This window comes from Homo sapiens, chromosome 9 (assembly GCF_000001405.40).
Source record: "Homo sapiens chromosome 9, GRCh38.p14 Primary Assembly".
NCBI lineage: Eukaryota > Metazoa > Chordata > Mammalia > Primates > Hominidae > Homo > Homo sapiens.
The window spans coordinates 3,971,482-3,995,429 of NC_000009.12; the positions used below are offsets into that span (position 1 = coordinate 3,971,482).

Sequence of the window (23,948 nt, forward strand, 5' to 3'; positions counted from 1 at the left end):
AAACTAATAACAGGTTTGTGAGAAGAAGAGAGAAAGGGAAATGAAAAGGGATCTATTGCACAACAAAGACACAGACACAACTGACATGCAAGGGCTCTGTTGGCACATGACTGCCAGGATGCAAAGCTGGGTCTAAGCACAACAAACTAACCCACGGTACACACAGTAGCATGACAGGCCTATGGTTATCTGATTGGCACACCGTAACTGCTCTATTTCGTGCATTTACACTTAAGCCTCTAATAATAGTTCTTTGAAAAGCACTGTCTTGTATTTAACTGATGATTGGCTCCAGCAATTAAATCCTACCACACTTTAGAATGCTGGACTATTCTGCTGCTTCCCAGAGTTGGAAAGAAAGGAGTTGACTCACATCTTACCCATCTCACTCCAGGTCAGCAATGGCACTGGAGGCAGTGCTGGGGATACTGAGGATATTGCTGTTTTGAGTGGCATGTGTTTGCTCTGGAGAAAACAGTGAGTAACAGGAAAGATCCCGCTATTTGTGGTCCAAGAAGGGGCTTTTGTTCAGAAAGGTGTTTTGGGACACTTACTGCTCACGTAACACACTAGCGTGTTAGCATTTCGTATCTCTACTAGTTTTCATGTCTAGATCAGAATGCCATATAAAGGTATACTTTCCTATGGAAGAGTAAATGTCTATGTTGTTTACAAAAAACTTCTGCTTTGGTAAGTACTGCTTGATTTGGGGAAGATGAAACTAGATATAGGTCCTCTTATCCCCTCCAGTAAGGCTTAAGATGGTTCTTCTCTTTTTAGGATGAAATCTGTGCATATGACAAATCATCCCAGTTCTTTATTCCTCTACCTAATGTAACTTCAAACGTCCCTCATTCTATACTCTGATTATTGGTTATCTCTGGATCCTATAAATGGGAGAGGAGAGTATGGTCACTGCTCAGTTTTGGAGGGCATGTTAGCCTGCAAAGGCCCTGTGTTACAGATAATGGGGTCCTCATGGGGAGCTTCCCAAAGGAAGCATGAGCTTCTCTTTTAGTATTTGGGCTTGCCAGCTTCCATATTTCTGGTTTCTTGACTGTAGTTTCAAAAAGGGTTTTTTTTGTTTGTTTGTTTGCTTTCTGATAGATTATCATAGGGTTACATTTCACATAAGCCATCTTTAGGCACTTTTCTCCTTGTAAAATACTATGAAATGTGGTGGGCACAAAAGCTTTAGGACTTGAGGTTATAGTACTATGTGAAAACTCTTTCTATCTGTGTGTTTAGTTTATATATTTACTTTCCTGGTATTAGTAAGTTTATATGTTTTAATTTATTCCTCAAGTTGTTTTAAAAAATGATTTAAGAGAGACTTCGCTTATAGAAAAGCATATGTTGATCTTTGCATTGTAATACTTCTTCCCAAAACACGTTAGAATGAGTCACGGTAGTTCTAGTGAATCTCTCTTCTGACGCTGATTGCAAGAGTTAAGCAAACTGCAAAGTTTGAGGGCAAATTCCTCCACATTTCTGACACCACCTGTAAGTCTATGGTGGTGGGGGGTTCCTCAAAACACCTTCAGGTGCAATAATTCATGAGAAGGACCCACAGAACTCACTGAAGCTATCATATTCATAGTTATGGTTTATTACAGAGAAAAAATACATATTAAGATCAACAAAGGGAAGAGATGCATAGGGCAAGTCTGCTAGGGTTCCAAATGCAAATGCTGCCATTGTTCTCAGAGTGTGATATCCTCCTGGGATCAAATGTGTGACAATATACACGGAGTACTGCCATCCAGGGAAGGTCACCTGAGCTTTGGTGTCTAGAGTTTTTATTAGGGCTCCATTGCATCATTGATTAATTGTTTATGTGGTAGATCTCAGTCTCCAAGTTGACTGATATTGTGTGTCCCAAAGCCTCCACTCTAAATTATATGGTTGGTCTTCCTGGCATGGCCTGTCCCACCTTAACACTGTTGGGTGTGGCTGGTCCAACCTAATATCTGGTGTGGCCAGCTCCCAAATTAAACAAAGACACTCCGATCAGATATTAATATGAATTACCTCCCAGAAGTTGAGGGCAAGGAGAACTCTCTTTGGGCGAAGTCAAGTTCTTTATTACACAAAAAATTTACCTGTTATTACTAATCGTGCTAATCCTAGCCTATTCCTAACTATGATACTTTACTATAAAAATCATTTTCACACAAAGCTGTTGGGAAATTTTTAAATAAGCAGCAAATTAAATCTAAGAATAAATATCTCTAATAACATAAAATTAAGACTATCAAAACCAGAAGGCAACATCCCAATAGTAGTTAAAATGAGAATCACAGAGAAAGAGCTTGAAAAATACACACCATTTCAAACCACATAATTAAGAAGGGAAACCATTAAAATTTTCGACATCTTATTTTTGTAAAACTTTTACATGTTTACTTAATGTTGCTGCTGAAAGCTAACCAAATTTTTTATTGTAATCTCAAGCCTCACAGATCTATGTTAGATTTCTTAAAAGAAAATTCTTATAAAAAAATCAAACATTTATGAGCTCAGATCACTTATGATTCCTGTAAGTGCGAAAAATAAATGGACATATGGTACAAATTCTCACTCATTTATACTTTATTTTGCAAGTGAGATGTGTAAAGCTCTTCAAGACCTTCCCAACCATACATGAAAACAGAGGAAAGAGTTCTGGATTTACACCTTTTTTTTTCTTTCCCAACATGAAATTTTATGAATTACATACAGTGGCAGGTCAAGAACTGAGTTTGAATAAATTAATGAATGGTTTCTACTGCAATCAACAAATTCAGTGAATACAAAGAGACTATGGTTTAGTTTTACCCTTTTCCTTCTTTTCTAATTAAATTCTAGATACAGAGCCTCCCTCGAATGCAGAGTTAACAGTGGGGTTGTGTTTCTGATCAACAGAAGCTGCTGGATTACACCTTGTCCACAGATATAAAAAGGTAGTAAGTTCCATAAAGAAACTCTGTCCCCATTTGAAATCTCTATTGCTTAGTGCTTTTAATGCAATTGGGGAACTGACTGGGAGCAGAAAACTATCCCAATGACAGACATATGAGGACTCTGCTATTTTCTAAAAGTCAATCAGCACCATTTGTGCCCGCAGAAAAACCAATCGCTCCCTAATGCAGAGGGCTGAGAGTACATGGGGAATATACAATGAAACTATTACAAGTTTAAAAGAACAGCATTCATATTTTTTTTTCCACCTAGGAAGTGTTAAAGACTATGAATTGCAGCTGAGGGAGAATTAAAGTCCCTATTTACACATTTCACTGTGCCTGCAAAGCTGAAAAAGAAATGAACTCAGTTGTAAAAGTATGCAGTTCGCTCAGGCAATTTCATTGTCTTAGTGTAGGAGAAAATGTCCTTTAATGTCATCAGCTAAGAAAAGGTGAATATTCAGGAATCAAAAAGCACCAGAAATGTTAACATTAAAAAGAAAAAGAAAGGTGATAGGACTAGAAACGTGATAAGGCACATGGAGGATGTGTGGGATTTGGAGGAAGAGGCATGCGAAGAGGGGAGAGAAGCCTCCTAAATCAGGGATTTGCAGCTGGAATGGGAAAAGATTAGAATTTCTGGGGTTGCAATGTAGTTTGAAAAAGGACATTAAACAATATAATCTTATATTGTGAATATAGAAACATACCTTTCATTTTTGTAACACAAACCTTGGTGAGTCTAGCCCTATGAAATCTTCTTGGCTGATGGAGACAAGCCCATTCTAAACTAGCAGCCAAGAAGATTCTCAACAGGAGAGGGAGTGGGCAGTTGGAAGAGTAATGTACAAAACAAGTACACTCCCAGGGGGGCACAGGAATAGGGAAAGGACTGAGATTTGCTTTGTGCTTATTGGAAGAGGGCATGGTGTTTTAAAAATTGAATAACACTGTCCAAAGTCATCCTAAAAGTATTACTAACACCTTCAGAACCCTGTTTAGTAAGAGCCATTACTGCTGTATCTGTCAAAGTAACCTTGGGCGATTTGACTTTTTGGAATACAAACCTCTGGCACTTTTCTGGAACCTAGCTGACCTCTGGATAGGGTACTTTATTGTGTTTCTGCATTTGCATTGCATCATTTTTTTTTTTTTTGAGAAGCAAAAAGTACCTTATAGGTGCTTACTTTTAAGTAAAATAAAAAGTCTAAAATAGACTAGAAACCAGTAACATGCCTTAAGGTTTTACTTGCACTCTTCCAAATAAACATATTTGGTTCTTTTTTATGTCACTGGTTTTTGTCCATCGTGACAAGTCTCACAGATTCATTAGGAGGAAAAATATCAAGCTATCATCATATAAAGACCCCACAGAAAACATCAAGAAATTCAAAACCTCTCTCTGCTTCCACAGCCCTCATTAAAAAATTGCACCTGTCAATAAAACACAGATAAATTAGGTGACTGTAAGTGAAAACTGCTAAGGTAAATCAGTAACTAAAAAAACTAAACCCCAGGTAGGTGAAACACCATTAAATCTGTCGCTGTCTCATCAGATCAGCAGCCAATCAGGTCCTGGCGGGCCATATGTGTATTTATAAATATATCTGCTAATGTAAAGGTCGCACTGCTCACTGCTCAGGGAAATCAGGCACATTTGGAACCATCCCTAGAAGATTTTGGTTTCTTTAAAAAAATATTTTGACAATTTGTGACAAATGCAATCCTGCCCCCATATGTTTTGTACTATTTAAAGGGAAATGACACCCAGTTGCCTTCACATCAACATGTGAATTTTTTTTTTCTTTTAATAATGAAGTTAGAAGATGAGAGGGGAGGCAGGTTACCTTCCATACATCTTTAAAAGATGTAAATATCTTTCCAAACTTTATATTTCCACACTTGTCCAAGAGGACAGAGCTTCCAAAATCTGTGTTACTGCTCATGACATAGGAAATCACAGAAATTTTTCTTCCAAATTGGAGGCTGAAGTGGAAAAATAACTGGAATGACAAGAAAGCGATGGCAGATTCTTGCCACCAAATGCAGTCTTCTGTCCCATTGCCTATTTTTTTTTTCCGGCTCAGTAACTCCTTCCCCTTTCTAAGTATGAGTAGGAAAAGGACTCTTGAAATGCTCCCCTCTGACACCCTCTGAAGAAACCTCTAATGAATTAATTTAGAACATCTGGATGAATTCAGAACATCTCAATCAGGCCCAAGAGTAACATCACCATAAGGCTGCAAGAGCCAGAAGTGAAGAATAAGCTTCAAATAGGACACACCCATTTACTTGCATCTCACCCCATTCCTTAGTGCCAACACAGTGACAAGGTTTCTCTATGGCATGGGAGACAGAAATCCTCCCCCTGCAAAAAAAAAAAAAAAAAAAAAAAAAAAAAAAAAAAAAAAAAAAAAAAATCCACAATCGGATGACATCTTTGGTGGAAAAAAAAAAAAGCTTCTGACAAGACAGAAAGGTATGAAAATATTTTGAGAGAACTTGTTTAATCGCCCAGCAATGCCTTCCGTTCAATTTAGCCCTTGAATCAGAATAATCATGACAGATGGCTCCTGCTAGTTAAAAAAAAATTAGCTAAAATTTCAGATAACGCAGCCTTCTGTCATGTTCTCCTACTCTGAGGTTTATGCAGTTTGTTCAGCAGGCTCTGAACTGCATACTGCTAGTTGATGACCAGTTTTCACTTAGGATCTGCAGAATTCACACCACTCGATACCGAATGCTTACAACTCCCAAGCCGGGAGAAATATTGTCAGTTCAGATGACAAAAGACCTTGCTAGGCCACCCCTCCTCCACCCAGATATTAGATCCACATTTTATACACCAAGCAATGTTTAAAATGTAAGGACCGAGAGGAAAGCTCTTGGCTCTATCAGCCTTGCCATCTCTTTGTAGCAGAATAAACTCATATCTGATGCTATAATTACAACCCTAATGGACACATTTAATTTATTTTGGAGAACTGAGGTTGATATCCACTAGTGCTATTATTAAAAAGACTAATGAGAGCTGCTCGGTAAGAAAAGAAAAGATTTATTGAATTCCTTTTGGCACCCGGCACAGCTTAGCAATTTTGAGAGCCCATCAAAACAGCAGATATATACCCTGCTCAGATGTGCTGTATGGGATGTGAGCTGGGTTTCAGATTTTCAATAACAAATCTGTCACTCCGATTTTAATTAGACGGCTTAAAGCAGCCACATCAATAATGGCAGAATGACGGCTTAGTTCAAAGATCATAGAGATGTTACTTTACTTTAATAGTTCTTTTATACAAGTACATATTTCAGAAGTTTGCAAGGCATTCATCTTGACTACCCCTTTCACCAAAGAGGAGAAAAAAATATTCTTAATTGAATTGAACCAGGAACACTAGCAGTCATCACCATTTCTACAGCAGGCTGTTGCATCCAGCTGGTGAGGAGGTCTAATTTCACACCACGCAGCAATGAAATGCTGCTAACTTTTATTTGTGAGTGTGAAATGGTAATATTTCATGACAGCGAAAGGCCAGTTGACACCGCTGGGTGCACCCTCCGCTGCTCCAAACCTGAGAGACAAATGGGAGGTCTTGGTTGAGTACTGACAAGCAAATGGATCTTTCTCATGAAAAGCTCCCAGAGAATGAAGGGAGGACTCAATTTGGGATGAAGGGTGAAGCCCGCTGTAGAAGTTCCCATTTAACTGTGGACACTCCTCTGCACAGATGGTACAGGAAAGCGGATGGTAATCTCAGAGTGAAAAACTGGCCAAAGTCTAAACCTTTTTTTTTTTTAAACTGGGTGGGGATAATGAAGAGTTGTCATTGTATTCCTTTCCATTGATTCTTGTTACATGAAGAAAAACATTGGCTGAATAAATATTACATAAATAAACACTATTAGTATATAGAAACTATTACTATATTGGTATATATCTTCCACACTTTGATGGGAATATGTGTGTACACTTTTCTTTAAAAAATAAAACCATTCTATACATACTGTAAAGATTTCTGCTTAATATTTCTGCTTAATAATATGGGTATTATTTTCCATATCAATAAATATATACCAATGTCATCATTTTAACAATTATATACTATTGCATTGTATAAATAATCCATACATTACTGAATCAATCCCCTCTTGCTGGACATTCAGATAATCTCAGATTATTTTGCAATGTTATGTGTATATGTGTGTATATATATATATAAATACTAATACAGAGTACATGAACATGTACTTTCTATATATGAGTATGTATTATACACACACACTATATAATTTGATTATTATATTCGAATAAATTATCTTAGGATAAATTATTAGAGCTGGCACTCCCAAGTCTAAGTATCTGCATTTTTAAAAAAGATTTCATATGCAGTCAGCACTCTACATCCTTGAGTTCCACATGTGCACAAAACCAACCCTCAGATTAGAAATATTTTTTAAAAATACAACGATAAAAATAATACAAATAAAAAATACAGTATAACAACTATTTACATTACATTAGGTATTATAAATAATCTAGAGATTATCTGATGTATACAGGATGTGTGTAGGTTGTATGCAAATCCTATACCATTTTATATCACACATTTGGGCACCCATGGATTTTGGTATCCTCATGGGGTCCTGGAACCAATTTTGCATGGATACTTAGGGAAAACCATATATTATATCACTGTTCTAATGGGTAGAGAATATGTTTCTTAGAAGCATCTTCTCCTGGATCAGATCCTGACAAAACACTCTAAACCTGTTACTACCACTTTCACAGCATCATTCAAATCCTCAATTCTATCTCCACTTCCTCTGCAATGCTATTCATCACTCCCCAGAATAACCTGAACATTCTCTGGACCCAATCCCTGCAAGTCTCCCTCACTGTTCTGGTCAACCTTCAGTGGTGTAGCCAAAGTTGTATTGACTCCTCATAGACAGGACTAACATCCTTCATGTTGTCTTAACACTGACTTCTGCAGCATCTAAATAGCACACGCTTCGAGCGAAGACCACAGCCCGTGTGCCAATGCCATTTCATTGCTCTGCACCAGCTCTGCCTCGTTTCAGGCTATGTGACTTTGGGACAGTGACTTCTCCTCTATGTGCTTCAGTTTCTTAATTGTTCTGAGTACTTCCTTCAGGAAGCCTTCTTGGACCTCTTATGTCTAGGTTAGGGCCTTTCCCTGTGTCCCCATGACACTCCATACTTCACCCAGCACAACACTTACCACACAGTTTTATGGATGTCTGGTACCTGTTTTCCCCAACACTAGACTATCACAGTAGGATCCACAGGCATCAATCTTGGTCTCTACTTATGTGCCATTCATTGAAAAAGATAATTATTGAGTGCCTACTTTAAAAAGATAATTATTAAGTTCCAGATGGTATTTCTGGAAGAACTAGGGATACAACAGAGAACACAACAGATAAAGTCACCACTCTCATGTGGCATATATTCCAGCGGGGAGGAGCAGACCGACAGCAGAATGGGTCAACGTAAGGAACGGCAGATAACGGTAAGTACCATGGAAGCAGGCAAAAGAGAGGGTGGGGTGGACTTGCCGTTTAGGAGTCTGGGGTCAGAGGAGGTCTCCCCCAAAAAGTGACCTTAGGAGAAAGGACTGTTGGTGTCTGGAGTTGGGAGAGACCAGTTTCTTTGAGCAGTGGACTTCTTCCTGTTGGTTTCAGAACACAGGCCCTATATCATATTTTGTTTAAAGTAAGAGGTCTGCTGCTTAAAAAGAAAAAAATTTTTTTCCAACACAGCTTCTAGTGTAAATGGCTTTTTGTGCTAGGCACTATATAACGTGACTTTAAAGCTGGCATAATTCCCCAAACAATGAAAGCTTCTGGTGAGAAGCACGTAAGTGTTGAGAGAAGTGATACACCAAGAGGAGGCCCAGGTTCACACTCGACGTAAGTGGCAGAGCTGGGATTAAACTCCTTGTCTGCTACCTCCAGAGTCCATATCTCTCTCCTCACCCTGAAATGTAAGCCAGACATACCAGCAGGCTGCCAAGTCATTTTAATTCAAATTTGATGGAGCTGCCACAGCACTGGTATTGCTTTGTTCGAGTTTGCTTCCCAGATGACCTTGCTGTGTGTTTAGACACCTTTGACAGCCCATATTGAACATACCTAAAATGGTCTTCACTGTAAGAGTTCATTGATTGTGCCTCTGTATGTTCAGAGTGATAATGTTTTTTAATCAGAGGGCATTTTATTTGGAATTTCTTTTCAAAAAGTGCAGGTAGTTCTAAACACTAAATACAAGGTAAAGGTTTTTTAAGAATGTGCCTAGAAAGTATTGCTCTTGGCCCAATTTCTACATCAGATCACTGTCCAGTTCTGCCTTCTGCTTCTCACTGACTTTTCTTCTTCTTCTTCTTCTTTTTTTCTGCTTGCTTCCCTACTTCCAGCTGCCAGCAAGTCAGATAATTAAATGCCAAAGTAGTGACACTTGGCATTTCAATGAGCGTTCTGTATTTACTACACGGTTTCTCTCGACAGCCCTCCTGCTCAGCATGCGTGCAAGCTCTACGCTGCTCTGCTGAACTGAAGCGCTCTTTTGTTGCAGGGCTGGACGAACTGAAGAAAGATGAACTCGGGCAGCAGCCAAGAACTGAGAGGAGGGGGTCAGCAGATTCCCTAACTTCTCTCCTCCGCTACCTCTTGGAGTTTATGTCCTCATTTCAATTAAACAAGCCTTTGTTAAAACCTTAGCCCTCTGTGCTCAGCCCTCTACTGGGACATTTTTAAAATGAATTTTGTATTAAAGGAGACAGGACTTTAGGTCTTTTCACTTCAACCAGGTACTGCCAGAATATTGCACTATACATGAATCAGAAAGTGAGTTCACCTTAATAAGCTCACCCAATTTTATACAAAAGCTATTTGTCAGAGAGAAGTCGACATTGGATGCAAAAGCCTGACTCTAGCTTCCAAGGCTGTAATTTAGACCTTGGGAGAACTGTCTAATTCAAAATGTGCCTCTTCACCATAAGGATCATGCGGTCAGGCGGCAGCTCAGCCATCACCTCCTTCTGGAAGCCCTCCCTGACCCCATGAGTCCGGGTTAAGTGCCCTCCTAGGTGGCTCTGATGCAGCCAGTCCTAGACCATAAACTTAGAGGACAGGAACCCTGTCTTACTGAGAATGTCCCATGCCAAACACAGCACCTGAAACATATCAGGGGTATGATACATAGTTCCAATTAAACTGCTTTGCAGTGAGATGATAAAGCCTTTTCAAATTCCTTTAAAAACCTTTAAAAACCAGTGTAGCTGGTTTTCTGGGGCTTTGGAAGACATCATACTAATACTTTTCATGAGACCTCTTGTAGCATATAACCTTACCAAGCAGATCCAGAAGACTAGAACCTCCCCAGGTGGATGCCTAGCCACTTTTTGGCAAATTGCTTTCATGGGACATTCAAAACCCTGAGAGCTACTTCAAAAGTTTCTGGAGAGCTTTGGCAGGCTCTAAGCTCCAGTGTATCTGCCACAGAGGGAGAGAGGGAGTCATGTTAACAGTTTTAATCTTATTCCACCTGCAAAGTAATTGCTTACACTTAAAAAAAAATGCTGGATTGGCCTGTCTAATTCCATTATACCTTTAAAGAATGGCACATTTTAATTCCTTTGCTGTTTCCACATAGTGCTATTGTATTTACTTGCTAATGCATAGAACAGAAAAGAACATGACATTCTCAAAGTTTTTCTTTCCCATGATTTGCCCTTCCTCTACCAGCAGGAGGTACCTTTACCTCTCTGTTTTTTTTTTTCCTACATAGCTACATAAACTTTAAAAAGAGATCATCTGACTACACTGCCTCTTATTGTCTCTTTTTTCACTCCTTTGTATTAAACGCAGCTCCTATCCAAGGCAATCTTGGCAGGAAGACACCATCTCTCCCACATTTCCCCTACCCCAGTACAGTCCTACTTGCTCTCACCAGGTTGTGCACAGCTCATTACAACTCTAGTCATCTGGAATTGTAAAGATCAAAGTTTTGCTACTTACTACAGTGTTTCTATGAATGGCTGCATTCCTCTTTTACAAGTAACCCATGACGGAAAACACAGGGGAAGCTTCTTCTTTTTCTTGTTGACAAAAGCTGGATCACTTCATGAATGCAGGAAAAAATTTGCTATATATTTAATATCGAAATAAGTGAAAACTAATACATTTATAAGATCCTTTCTGTTTCTGGCCAGTCAGAAAGGCCAAGCCTAGCAAAGATACTACATGTCTGCTCCCTTGATTTTAGCCAACAGATAGTTTCAAACTCTTTTCTTCATCAAAACTTTTCTCGCCAAAACAGAAAAAAAGTTGGCTTGCATCTCAACTTCTCTTATTTTCTCCATCCTATATGGAAGGCTTCAGGCAGCTACCCAGAAAGAAGGTAGGATAATTGAGGCCTAAGTCACCATAGGGTCACTGGCTCTTAAATATAAGCACAAATGAAGCCATAATTCCTAGAATTAGAAGAAACTAGAGTGAAAATCAAAGTGAAGGACATTGATTGAGGGTCTCTTGGCCAAGAAACAACATTCTCTTGCGCTTGTTATATTTCCTGCACATGGAGCTTGATGTGGTTGGCTGTGTCCCCACCCAAATCTCATCTTGAATTATAACTCCCATAACTCCAATGTGTCAGGAGAGGAACATGGTGAGAGGTGACTGAATTATGGGGTGGGTCTTTCCTGTGCTGTTCTCTTGATAGTGAATGAGTCTCACAAGATCTGATGGTTTTAAAAAGGGGAGTTTCCCTGCAAAAGCTCTCTCTTCACTGCTGCCATCCATGTAAGACATGACTTGCTCTTCCTTGCCTTCTGCCATGATTGTGAGGTCTCCCCAGCCATGTGGAACTGTAAGTCCATTAAACCTCTTCTGTAAATTGCCCAGTCTCTGATATGTCTTTATCAGCAGCATGAGAACAGGCTCATACAGTAAATTGGTACCAGCAGAGGGGGGCACTACTGTAGATACTTAAAAATGTGGAAGCGGCTCTGAGACTGGGTAACAGGCAGGGATTGGAACAGTTTGGAGGGCTCAGAAGAAGACAAAAAAATGTGAGAAATTTTGAAACTTCCTAAAGACTTGTTGAATGGCTTTGACAAAAATGCTGAGAGTGGTGTGGATAATAAAGTCCAGGCTGAGGTGGTCTCAGATGGAAATGAGAAACTTGTTGGGAACTGGAACAAAGGTGACTCTTGTTATGTCTTAGCAAAGAGAGTAGTGGCATTTTTCCCCTGCCATAGAGATGTGTGGAACTTTGAACTTGAGGGAGATGATTTAGGGTATCTGGCGAAAGAAATTTCTAAGCAGCAGAGCATTCAAGAGGTGACTTGGGTGCTGTTAAGGGCATTCAGTTTTCTAAGGGAAGCAGAGCACAAAAGTTTGGAAATTTGCAGCCTGAAAATGCGATAGAAAAGAAAATCCCATTTTCTAAGGAGAAATTCAAGCTGGCTGCAGAAATTTGCATAAATAATGAAGAGTCAAATGTTAATCCCAAAGACAATGGGGAAAATGTCTCCAGGGCATGTCAGAGGTCTTCATGGCAGCTTCTCCTATCACAGGCCCCGAGGCCTAGGAGGAAAAACTGGTTCTGTGGGTTGGGCCCAGGGACTGTGTGTGCTGTGTGCAGCCTAGGGACTGCTAGGGCAGTGCAGAAGGGAAAGGTGATGTTGGAGCCCCCACACAAAGTCCCTCCTAGGGCACCACTTAGCAGAGTTGTGAGAAGATGGTCATTGTCCTCCAGACCCCAGACTGGTAGATCCACTGACAGCTTGCACTTTGTACCTAGAAAAGTTGCAGACACTCAACATCAGCCTATGAAGGCTGCTGGGAGGGACGCTATACCCCGCAAAGCCACGGGCAGAGCTGCCCAAGACCATGGGAACACACCTCTTGCATCAGCATGACCTGGATGTGAGACATGGAGTGAAAGGGGATCATTTTGGAGCTCTAAGATTTGACTGCCCCGCTGGATTTGGGAATTGCATGGGCCCTGTAGCCCCTTTGTTTCGGCCAATTTCTCCCATTTGGAATGGCTGTATTTACCCAATGCCTGTACCCCCATCATATCTAGGAAGTAAGTAACTTGCTTTTGATTTTACAGGTGGAAAGGACTTGCCTTGTCTCAGATGAGACTTTAGACTGTAGACTTTTGAGTTAATGTTGAAATGAGTTAAGACTTTGGGGGACTCTTGGGAAGGCATGATTGATTTTGAAATGTGAGGACATAAAATTTTGGAGGGGCCAGGGACAGAATGATATGGTTTGGTTGTGTCCCCATCCAAATCTCATCTTGAATGGTAACTCCCATAATTCCCACATGTTTCAGGAGGAACCCAGTGGGAAGTGATTGAATTGTGGGGGCGTGTCTTCCCTGCACTGTTCTCGTAATAGTGAATGAGTCTCGCGAGATCTGATGGTTTTCAAAGTGGGAGTTTCTCTGTACAAGATTTCTTTGCCTGCTGCCAACCATGTAAGATGTGACTTGCTCGTCCTTGCCTTCTGCCATGATTGTGAGGCCTCCCCAGCCATGTGGAACTGTAAATCCATTAAACCTCTTTCTTTTGTAAATTGCCCAGTCTCAGGTATGTCTTCATCAGCAGTGTAAGAACAGACTAGTACAGAGCTCAATTCACAAAAAAAAAAAAACCCATTTTTCCTCACCATTTCAGTCAAAATTATTATTATTATTAATTATTACTGAGACAGGGTCTTGCTCTGTTGTCCAGGCTGGAGTGCAGTAAAGAGCTTGGCTCACTGCAACCTCCATCTCCAAGTCTCAAGCAATCCTCCCACCTCAGCCTCCTGAGTAGCTGGGACCACAGGTGTGTGCTACCACACCTGGCTAATTGTTTTTTGTACTTCTTAGTAGAAACAGGGTTTCACCGTGTTGCCCAGGCTGGTCTCAAACTCCTGAGCTCAGGCAATGTGCCTGCCTCAGCCTCCCAAGGTGCTGGGATTACAGGTGTAAGCCACTGCACCCAGCCCCAGTCAAAATTAAATACAAGTGTCCTGTCAGAATGAAACTTCTACAGTTTGAGGAATCATTAATTACAAAGCATTGCTTCTTGGTACATGAATATTTGGGCCCAGAAAGCAGATGTTTGCTCCTCTCTAGAATGTCATCTTCTACCACAGATTGTGTAGATATACAACAGCTACTATTAGATTCACTATTTTCTAAGAAACAATGTCAATTAGTAATAGGAAGAGATGTTTCAAGTAATAAAAAATTTTAGCAAAGGAAGCAAAATTTTAGCTCATGTGAGAAATCTAAGATTGGGAAAGAAGTTTTCTCATATGCAACATTCAATGGAAGCAGAGGTCATCCACGTTAGAAGCATTTTGTACAAAGTCAAACAATTTTGTGATGGAACAATCTACTTTTGTAAAAGTTACTTTCCCTCTAGTTCCTGGCATTCCCAGTTAAAATTAAAACTGTATAATATTGCTAATCTATAAACTACATAGTTTGTTCTACCCACATCAATTAAAAATTCATTTGTGGAGAAAAAGAAGAGAAATAAATCAGTCATGCTAATTAAAAAGAAATTAAGCAAGAAACAGTCAAGAAGGACTTTCCTGAAGAAAAAGGAAGTCTTCTTTAGTTAAATTACAGAATAATTTGTGGAAAATTAAAACTACAAAATGCATTTTCAATATCTTAGAGCCACTGGGTTTGGTGAACAGTGGTGTTTTGCATGTCTACATTGCAGGCATGCACTTTCTCCAACAAGATACCCTCTGTCTTCTGCTAATACCTCTCGTGAGCAGAGAAGATGTAAATGTGTTCACTCAGCAGTTTAGGAGTCCATCATGACCGAAAAATAAAGGCACGGATACAACTGTAGATAATTTTGCTTGGCTCTGATGATCACTATGAATTAAATTCTAAATATGGACTGAAGCTTCCTTGTGTCATAAAAATTCACAGAATTCCACTCCCTTCTCACCACCCCCACTGTGATCTCTCAAGCAGATTTATGAAAACTGTGTACAATTAGGAATACTTTTCTATCAGCATTAATTCTGCCCTCTGACCTTTCTTCCCCAGTTCCATTTGTACCAATGAGTTCTCAATTCATATAAGCTATTCTCCAGAGGCACAGGACTGGGCTCCTAATTAACTATTAAATGTCTTGAGAGCAGGGGCACTGGCAGGGAAATCTCACCACAGGCCTCCTCCACTGAAAGTCATCTGGCGGCCTGACTGTGAAGCCCTTTTGCCCCCTCGGGCAGTACCAGCAGGGACCAGTGGAAGCCCCAGCAGCATCCAATAAACTGAGCCAACCAAAAATAGTAAAGGCTTTGAAAACCACTGCCCTTGGAAGCACAGCCCACTAAAGTAGGCAAAGACCCATGTGCTAAACTTAACAGGGTGTCTGCCTGCTAAAGTAAAAGTTTGGAATGCAACCCAGAGTTTCCAAACATATGAAATGTGCAGGATATAATTTAAAATCACCCATCAACTAAGAACCAAAAAATCACAACTTGAGTAAAAAAAGACAGTCAACTAATGCCAATACCAAAATGGATCAGATGAATTAGATCTTGAAATGATCTGAAAAGGATTTTAAAGCAGCTGTCATAAAAATGCTTCAACAATGAATTACAAATTCTTTTGAAACAAATGGAAAAAATTAGAAAATTCCAGAAAAGAAATGGAAGCTACAAAAAATGAAAAGCGTAAATTATAATAATAAAATAATAGTAATACAGATTTTAAAACTTGCTGGAAGGGCTCAACAGTAGAGGTGAGAGAGGACAAAATTAGTGGACTTGAGGGCAGGACAATAAAATTTACCCAATTTCAACAAAAAAGGCAAACATAATGAGAAAAAAAATTAACAGCTCCTCAGGGACTTGTGGGACACTAGAAAAAGACCCAACATTTGTATCATCAGAGTTCCAGAAGAGAAGAAAGAGAGTAGAACCGAAAGAGTATATAAAGAAATAATGGGCTGGGTGCAGTGATTCACGCCTTTAATCCTAGCACTTTGGGAGGCCAAGGCGGGTGGATCACCTGAGGTCAGGAGTTCGAGACCAGCCTGGCCAACATGGTGAAACCCTGTCTCTACTAAAAATGCAAAAATTAGCTGGGCGTTGTGGTGGGCGCCTGTAATCCCAGCTACTCAGGAGGCTGAGGCAGGCACTTGAACCCAGGAGGCAGAGGTTACAGTGAGCCAAGATCACGCCACTGCACCCCAGTCTGGGCGACAAGAGTGAAACAACGTTTAAAAAAAAAAAAGAAAAAGAAAAGAAAAGAAAAGAAATAATGGCTGAAAACTCCCTGGATTTGGCAAAAAAAAAAAAAAAAAAAAAAAAAAACAAAACACAAACATAAACCTACAGATTCAAAAAACAGTGAATCCAAACCAGATAAACTCAGGAAAATATACACTAAAACACATCATAATTAAAAATTTAAAATCTAAAGAGAAAGAAGATCTTGAAATAATCCAGAGAAAAACGATACATGAACATCAATTCAATGACAGCACATTTTCCCTCCAGCTTCACTGAGGTATAGTGATGATTAAAATTTAATATATTTAAGGTCTACAACTTGATGATTTGGTATATGTATACATTGTGAAATATTCACCACAATCAAGCTAATGACTGGGCTTTTTAATCTGTAACCATGGAGTCCAGAATCAAGCGGTTTCAAGTGGTGAAAGGAGAGACTTGTCAACTGTGAAGTTTATATTCAGAGAAACTATCCTTCATAAATGAAAAAAATAAAAAAATAAAAAAACATTCTCAATGAAGAAAAAGACTCTGTCACTAGCAGACCCACCTTTAATGACTGACTAAAGAAAGATCTTCCAACAGAAAGGAAATGATAAAAGAAGGAATCCTGGCACATCAAGAAGGAAGAAGATACAATGAAAAAAGCAAATTTACTGTTATGTTGATGACTGAAATAAAAGTTATAATACCACTTGATACTCAAGACGATGATAAAAATGGGAAAGGTAAAGAAACCTAAATGGAAGTGAGGTTCCCATAATTCTCCCAAAATTTATATGAAAAGGCACAGCCCTATATTAATGTATAGCTACAGTAATCAAGACAATGTGGTATTGATGAATTAATACATAGATCGATTGAACAGAATAGACAACCCAGACAGGCCCACATAAATTCCTCAACTGATATTTGACAAAGATGCATAATCAACTCAGTGAAGGAAGAATAGTCTTTACAACAATTGGTGCTGGAGCCATCAAGCACGCATAGACAAAAAAAAAGAAAAAGAATCTTGACCTAAACCTCATACGTTATACGAAGATGAACTCTAAATGGAATATAGACCTAAATGTAAGAAACAGCACCATACAACTTTCAGGGAAAAAAAAAGCCAGAAACAAATTGTTAGGATTTAGAGTTAGGCAAAGACTTCTTAGACTTGATACCAAAACCATGATCCATAAAATGTATAAATTTGTTCTCATCAAAATTAGAAACTTTTGTTTGGTGAAACCTCATGGGAAGAAGATGAAAATACAGAGAGACTGGGGAAAACATTTGCAAACCACATATCCAACTAACGACCAGTAAATAAAGTATATTATAAAAAATCTCAAAACTCAATAGTAATAAAACAAGCAATCCAAATAGAAAATGGGAAAAGATATTTAACTAAAGAGGATATACAGACGGTAAATAAGCATATGAGAAGATGTTCAACATCACTAATCATCAGGGGAAGGCAAATTAAAACTACAATGAAATATTACTACATGCCTATCAGAATAGCTAAAAATTAAAAAGAGTGACAATACCAAATACTGGCAAAGATGTGAAGAAACTGGATCACTCATACATTGCTGACAGAAATGTAAAAAGGTACAGGCACTCTGGAAAACAGTTTTCTTATAAAACTAATCATAAAATTACCATATGACCCAGTAATTGTAGTGGTGGATAATTATCCAGAGAAATGAAAATTATGTTATAACAAAAACTGTTTGCAAATATTCATAGCAGCTTTACTTGTAATAGCTTAAACTACAATCAGCCCAGATGTCTCTCACCAGGCAGATGTCAACTACTGTGGAATAAACATACCATGGAATATTACTCAGCAATAAAAAGGAATACAATACATGGAAACTTGGATGAATCTCCAGTGAATTTAGCTGAGTGAAAAAGCCACTCCGAAGAAGTTACATACTGTATGAGTCCATGTATGCAACATTTCTTAAATGAAAAAAATTACTACTAGAGGAAAGATGAGTGGTTGCCAGGAAGGTTAGGGATGGCATGTATAGGAAGTAGGTGGATGTATTTATTAAAGGGAAATAGGATAGATATTAGTGGTGCTGGAAATGCTTAGTATCTCAACTGTGATGGTGAACACAAGAAACTGCACTAGCAACACATTGTATAGAACTTACACACACACACACACACAAAGAGTACAAAACTGAGGAAGCCTGAATAGGTCATGATTTGTATCAAGTTCAATATTCGGGTTGATATCATACTGCAGAGTTTTGCAAAATACTAACATTGGGGGAAACTAGATAAAGTGTACAAGGGCTCTCTCTGTATTACTTCTCACAAGTGCATGTGAATTTACAATTATCTCAACAAACACTTGAAAGCTGTCACAATGTGAATGAAGAAACCAGGAAATATTACTACCACGAAGTTCATTTTCAAAGATGACATGTGACAACCAAGGCCTGCTGTACAATGTGGAAAGAGCCGAGGGCAAACTGCTTTTTTGCATCATTCTTCATCATTCCATTAATCATCACCAAAAAGCCACCATTTCATAAAAGCAAGGGGAGGGAATGTTACATTAACATAATATTAGAATCATTCCGGAGGAAGGGAGATGCTAGCAAACATCCTATCAATCAACTGGCAATTACTGATACCAACAGGTCTTAAGTTGCACACGGCAATGGCGCATGTTTTCTTCACCAAAGATCGACCTGCACCTGGCACAGTCCTTGGCTCATGATGGAAAGAAAACCAGTAGCATTGATCAGTGAATGAGGAACAAACTCACCTCATGCATCCCTAACCTTTCTGGCAATTTAATCTGTGGCATGCGAAAGAAGTTCCCATTAAGTAGGAGTTTACAATATTCTGGCTCTGTAGGGTGAACAGAAATTTCCTGGCACCCTGAGGATTGTGTGAATCCCTACTTCTTAAAGTTTCCCTCCAAAATAGCCCTTGCCTTCTACTATACAGAAGAGGGAAGGAAAATTTCACACTCAGACAGCCAAGGGTGTAACTAACCTGAAATTGTGCAGTCATAACATTGGAATTAGTTTTCAAATAGCTAAACGTATGTATATTTTAGTATTTAAAAATGTTAAATTTTCTACAAATTAAATTTCATACAAATTTAATGACAGAACTGATTTTCTCCCTCTCTTCCAAAATATACAGGTTCATCCCTGACATCAAGCATGCCCTCAATTTTGAAAAACAGGCCTAACCAACCAAGGGGTTCTTTGAAATACGGAATGTCTAAGTGAAGCAGTTTTGTTTAGCCAGGAATCAGATTGATGTTTCTGATGACAAAAATTAGGGTTAAGGAACTTGACAAGCACCTTAGAGTCTCTTTATCACAACTAATTCTCAAGCAAAAGGTTTCTCTGAGAATAGCAGCAGAAACACCCAGCTCCTGCAACCACTTGTAGGGAGAGAATGTTAGATAAAAAGGAGTCACCTGCCAGACATATTGTAGGAGGAAGCTGTGTTTGCATTTAAAATGGGAAGGCACTTTACTGAGATGCCTTGGAGATAAGTGTACAAATGGGTACAATAGTAGCCATCATTAAGACAAATGTCCATTTTGACTTTTACTTTTACTTTCCCCTCAAAGCCTCTTTAATGAAGATACAAAAAAACAAAAAAAAAGGGTTCACAGCAGATGTCACTGGGTACAAGTCTGAAGAGACATTAAGTACAAGAGACAGCATAAATAAAACAAAATGAATCAATTAAAAAACCTGGACATAACAGCTGAAGTTGTGATTTCATTTGGAGGCTTAATATGCTGGGAAACTCAGAAAAATTAAACACGTCTCGGAGTCTTAACTTCCTATATCTTAATTTGCCATACTTCACATGGTAATCGATGGAACTATTGATACTTTCATTTTTGTTTTAATTATACTTTCATATTTTAACTGTTGCTTATCTTGGGGTTACTGTCATATTATTATATAGTTCAGAATTTCATTAAGTAGGCTGATTTTTTTTTTTTTTTTTTTTTTTTTGAGACGGAGTCTCACTCTGTCGCCCAGGCTGGAGTGCAGTGGTGGGATCTCGGCTCACTGCAAGCTCCGCCTCCCGGCTTCATGCCATTCTCCTGCCTCAGCCTCCCGAGTAGCTGGGACTACAGGCGCCTGCAACCATGCCTGGCTAATTTTTTGTATTTTTAGTAGAGACGGGGTTTCACCGTATTGGCCAGGACAGTCTTGATCTCCTGACTTCGTGATCCGCCCGCCTCGGCCTCCCAAAGTGCTGGGATTACAGGCATGAGCCACCCTGCCCGGCCAGTAGGCTGAATTTTTAAATGAGACACTGTATCTTAAGGCCAATTACTTTTAGACAAACTGAAGTCAGATTTTATAATATAGAGTAAGTAAGAAAATAAGATTCCCCATTTAAAACTCTGCTTTAGGGCAGCTCTGTCTGTTCCTGTCACAGTCACAACAAATGATGTTAGAATGTAACATTTGGAGGACAAGGAGTAGTGGCATTTATTTTCACTTTATACAGTGCCTAGACTAATGCTTAGTGTAAAAAAATATGTTTTCCAGAAGTAATTTTTTGGGGAAAAAGTGATTCATTTCAGTTATATGAAATGTGAAAGAAAACTAAAGAAAGCAAATAAAAGGAAATAATAAAAATGACTTGTCTGTGTAATGATAGTTGCTTCTCTTGGGAATGAGGGCAATAAAGAAATGTGTTTCCTTGTTAAAGGTTCTGCTGAGAAGAGTTCAAAAAAACTGCATTTCCCTTCCTCCTCATGCATAAACAGTGAATGCACACAGGTACTAAAGCAAATCCTCAGCGTAAAGGAGGAGATGGTTGTTTATGAGATAGAGTTGGTACAGTTATTCCCAGAAACTCAATATGAACAACTGTATTTATTTCCATTATTAAGGAGTAAACAGTATTAAAGCTGGATGATGGACTTATTCAACATAACTGTTTTTTCAACTTTTGACAATTTTTTAAAAATTTTCATCGTAAGAGTAAAAACAAAAAATTAACAGTGTCTTCACTACCTTTGTAAAGGTATCCCTCTCTCAGTACTTTTCCAGTTTTAATTTGGCTGGTGGAAAACAAAAGATCAGACAGTGTGACATCTAATAATCTCTACCATGACCAATTCTGATAAGGTCAAACACTTTTATCCCTCAGGAGGTATCATACAACATTTTCTTTAGTTTCGTTTGAGGTGTATGAAGATTTTCCACTTGTGAATAAAATCCTCAGCAAATCCTTATAGGGTGTTTTTCTTGTGTGACATGGAGCCAACCAGCTAAGGCTCTCAGTAAGGCCGGCTGCCAGGGTAAATCATATCTTTCCTGGCTTTACACGTGAGCCAGATGTTGGGGATTTTCTGAGCTACAGGATGGTGGGGAAAAAGGTTTTTGCATTTCCTGTGTTCTCACTCCAGCTCTCAAGCTTTCAAGATTCATGGCCAGTCAACAGTGTCATGAACTGGCCTGAAAATATTCCAGATTAAAACCCACTGACAACATACCTGACTCTGCCATTGCCTCATACTGTTTGTCAGATCAGGATCTCTTTGTACTGCTGCTTCCCCTGACAGTTCCGAGGGCAGTCAGAGAGGCAGGTGTAATCTTTAATCTTCTGAAGCCTGAAATTCAGTGGAATTCAACTACCACTTTAAAAGTAGCTTATTTTCTCGTTAATATTAGTAGTATTTTATGAAATTTGTTAATAAAATACTATTAGTACCAAGTCAAATATGATAAACTTTTTATCATATAGACAATTTAGAAATATGTATAAGTATGAATGTATATGTACATTTCATGTATATGTAAAAATCCACAATAAGTCCACTATCTGAGGAAAACTAACATACACCATTTTCAGGTATTTCCAGGGACAAGTAAGGAATTCCCTAGGTTCCTAATGAATGTCCACATATGCCTACATATGCCATCATAAGCATATTTGTTTGTATATATCAACATTCATTTAAACATTCTATCATAAGATTTTCCTCATTACTAAATATTATTAAATAATGTTGATGATTGCATGATTTTAGCAAATGGCTATACCATAATTCATTTAATATTGGCCTACTGCTAGATTACTATTGGCCTACTGTTGTATTACTGCTGGTGTCACAAAAATTGTCATTTTTTTTCTGTTATAAATAATTTGCAGTGCTACATTTTAAAAGTATTTTGACAAAGAAAATTTTGCCTTATCTTTTCTGAACACTCACTTCCTTTCTGTTCTAACCCAGGCTTCCCAGGAGCAGTCATTTCTAACCTCTACTACGCATCAGAGTCATCCAGAGAGCTTGTTAAAACACAGATTTCTGCGTCCCACCCTCAGAGTTTGCTGACTGAGAAGGTCTGGGTTGGACCAAAGAATCTGCATTTTTTAAAAGTTCCATGGTCTAGGACCACACTTTGAGAACTGCTGTTCCAAAGAACCACCTGCTTTATACTCTGGTTTCTCTTCGGATCATATAAATCTGCCTTTTAAAAAAGCACCTGTTGGATCTATGAAACTGATGCAGCCGGTAGTTTCTCATTATGGTCTCATTACCCTTTACATTGAAAAATACAAAGCCACTTCAATTGCCATTTCACAGTACAGCCCATGGCCTGGAACGGGCACAGCTGCCCTCTTTAGGTTGAAAATATTTGGCAAATAAGGAATGCTGGCAAGAGAGGCTGCAGTTTTGACACCTACACCTTGATTTGGGATTCATTTTTCTCACTCAGGATTTGGCAAGCGTATGTCTTCTTTAAAGTGAGACTGAAAATAAGCTCTGACTCACAAACCTAGCTTAAAACACCACAAAGAGTAAACAACTATTTCCATAACTAATAATTATTAAAATATGTTTTTGAGTTTTTGCATAACTTGCCTGTATAATGAGATCTAAGTATTTACATGGAATTTCTACATTACTGTGTGAATAAATTAACAGAACTAAAACCTGCCTCCTGACCTCTAGCCTCTCCCTGATGTCAGCCTGTGCTCAACCCTGCCACCAACACTGTCTTTTTAAAAATCAAAACTGATTCCTTATTTACTTCTTTCCCCAGCAATATGGCAAATGAAATGTTCCGAGAAACCACTTCTGATGCAGCACATCTAAAAATGGCGGCTAAAGTGTTTAAAAGAATCTCTTTTTTAATGCATGGCTGCCCTACAGATAAAGTGAGGGAATGCCTCAGAGGCCAGAAAACAAGCAAGCAAACAAAAAGCCCAGCAATCAGGAGCAGAGAGCAAGAGTTGGGGCTATTCTAACAATTTCAGGTACCCTAGAGCTTGGCTTCTAAGGGGCCAGTTGAGAAGAATCAAAGTATGGGTCTAGATTTGGATCTGAGTTTAAACAGACATCCACATTCACAAAGCAAGAACTTCTACATGGCAACAAAGTCAGCAAATAAACTGGGAGGAGCAAAACCAAACCTGACCTACAGAGTGAGGCAGTTGGCAAAGACGTCTTGGCTCTTGGTGGGGAAGGGAAAAATGAGTCTCTTAAGGATTTTTAACCAGAAAACCTGGGTTTGAATCCTGAATTCATGTTTCTCATGTGGTCCAAAACACTCAAAAACTGATATTTTAGTTTAAATTCATATAGAGTTAATATAGTCTCTAGGCTTCAGGTAGCAACAATGACAACTACTCCATGGAAGAATGCATCTAAACCTAGGTCTCAAGGAATTTCCAAAGATAAGGTTCTAAAGAATGGCAGCTTATACTAAA

At 38.8% G+C, this 23,948-nt stretch overlaps 1 protein-coding gene and 2 long non-coding RNA genes across 15 annotated transcripts in view; 2 read left to right on the forward strand and 1 right to left on the reverse strand.

The window, feature by feature from the left end:
- The window catches only part of GLIS3 (GLIS family zinc finger 3), a 666,339-nt gene that overhangs the window by 147,355 nt on the left and 495,036 nt on the right, over positions 1-23,948 (reverse strand). The gene's annotated exons all lie outside the window — the stretch shown is intronic.
- On the forward strand, positions 301-23,025 carry LOC105375964 (uncharacterized). 2 transcript variants are annotated; one of them, XR_007061399.1, is made up of 3 exons: positions 301-394; positions 2,848-2,942; positions 22,468-23,025. It is a non-coding gene; the product is annotated as an uncharacterized LOC105375964 (long non-coding RNA). The 2 variants fall into 2 exon arrangements; XR_929445.3 differs by having other exon boundaries at positions 385-477.
- LOC124902111 (uncharacterized) lies at positions 8,336-9,682 on the forward strand. The gene is made up of 2 exons (XR_007061400.1): positions 8,336-8,476; positions 9,538-9,682. It is a non-coding gene; the product is annotated as an uncharacterized LOC124902111 (long non-coding RNA).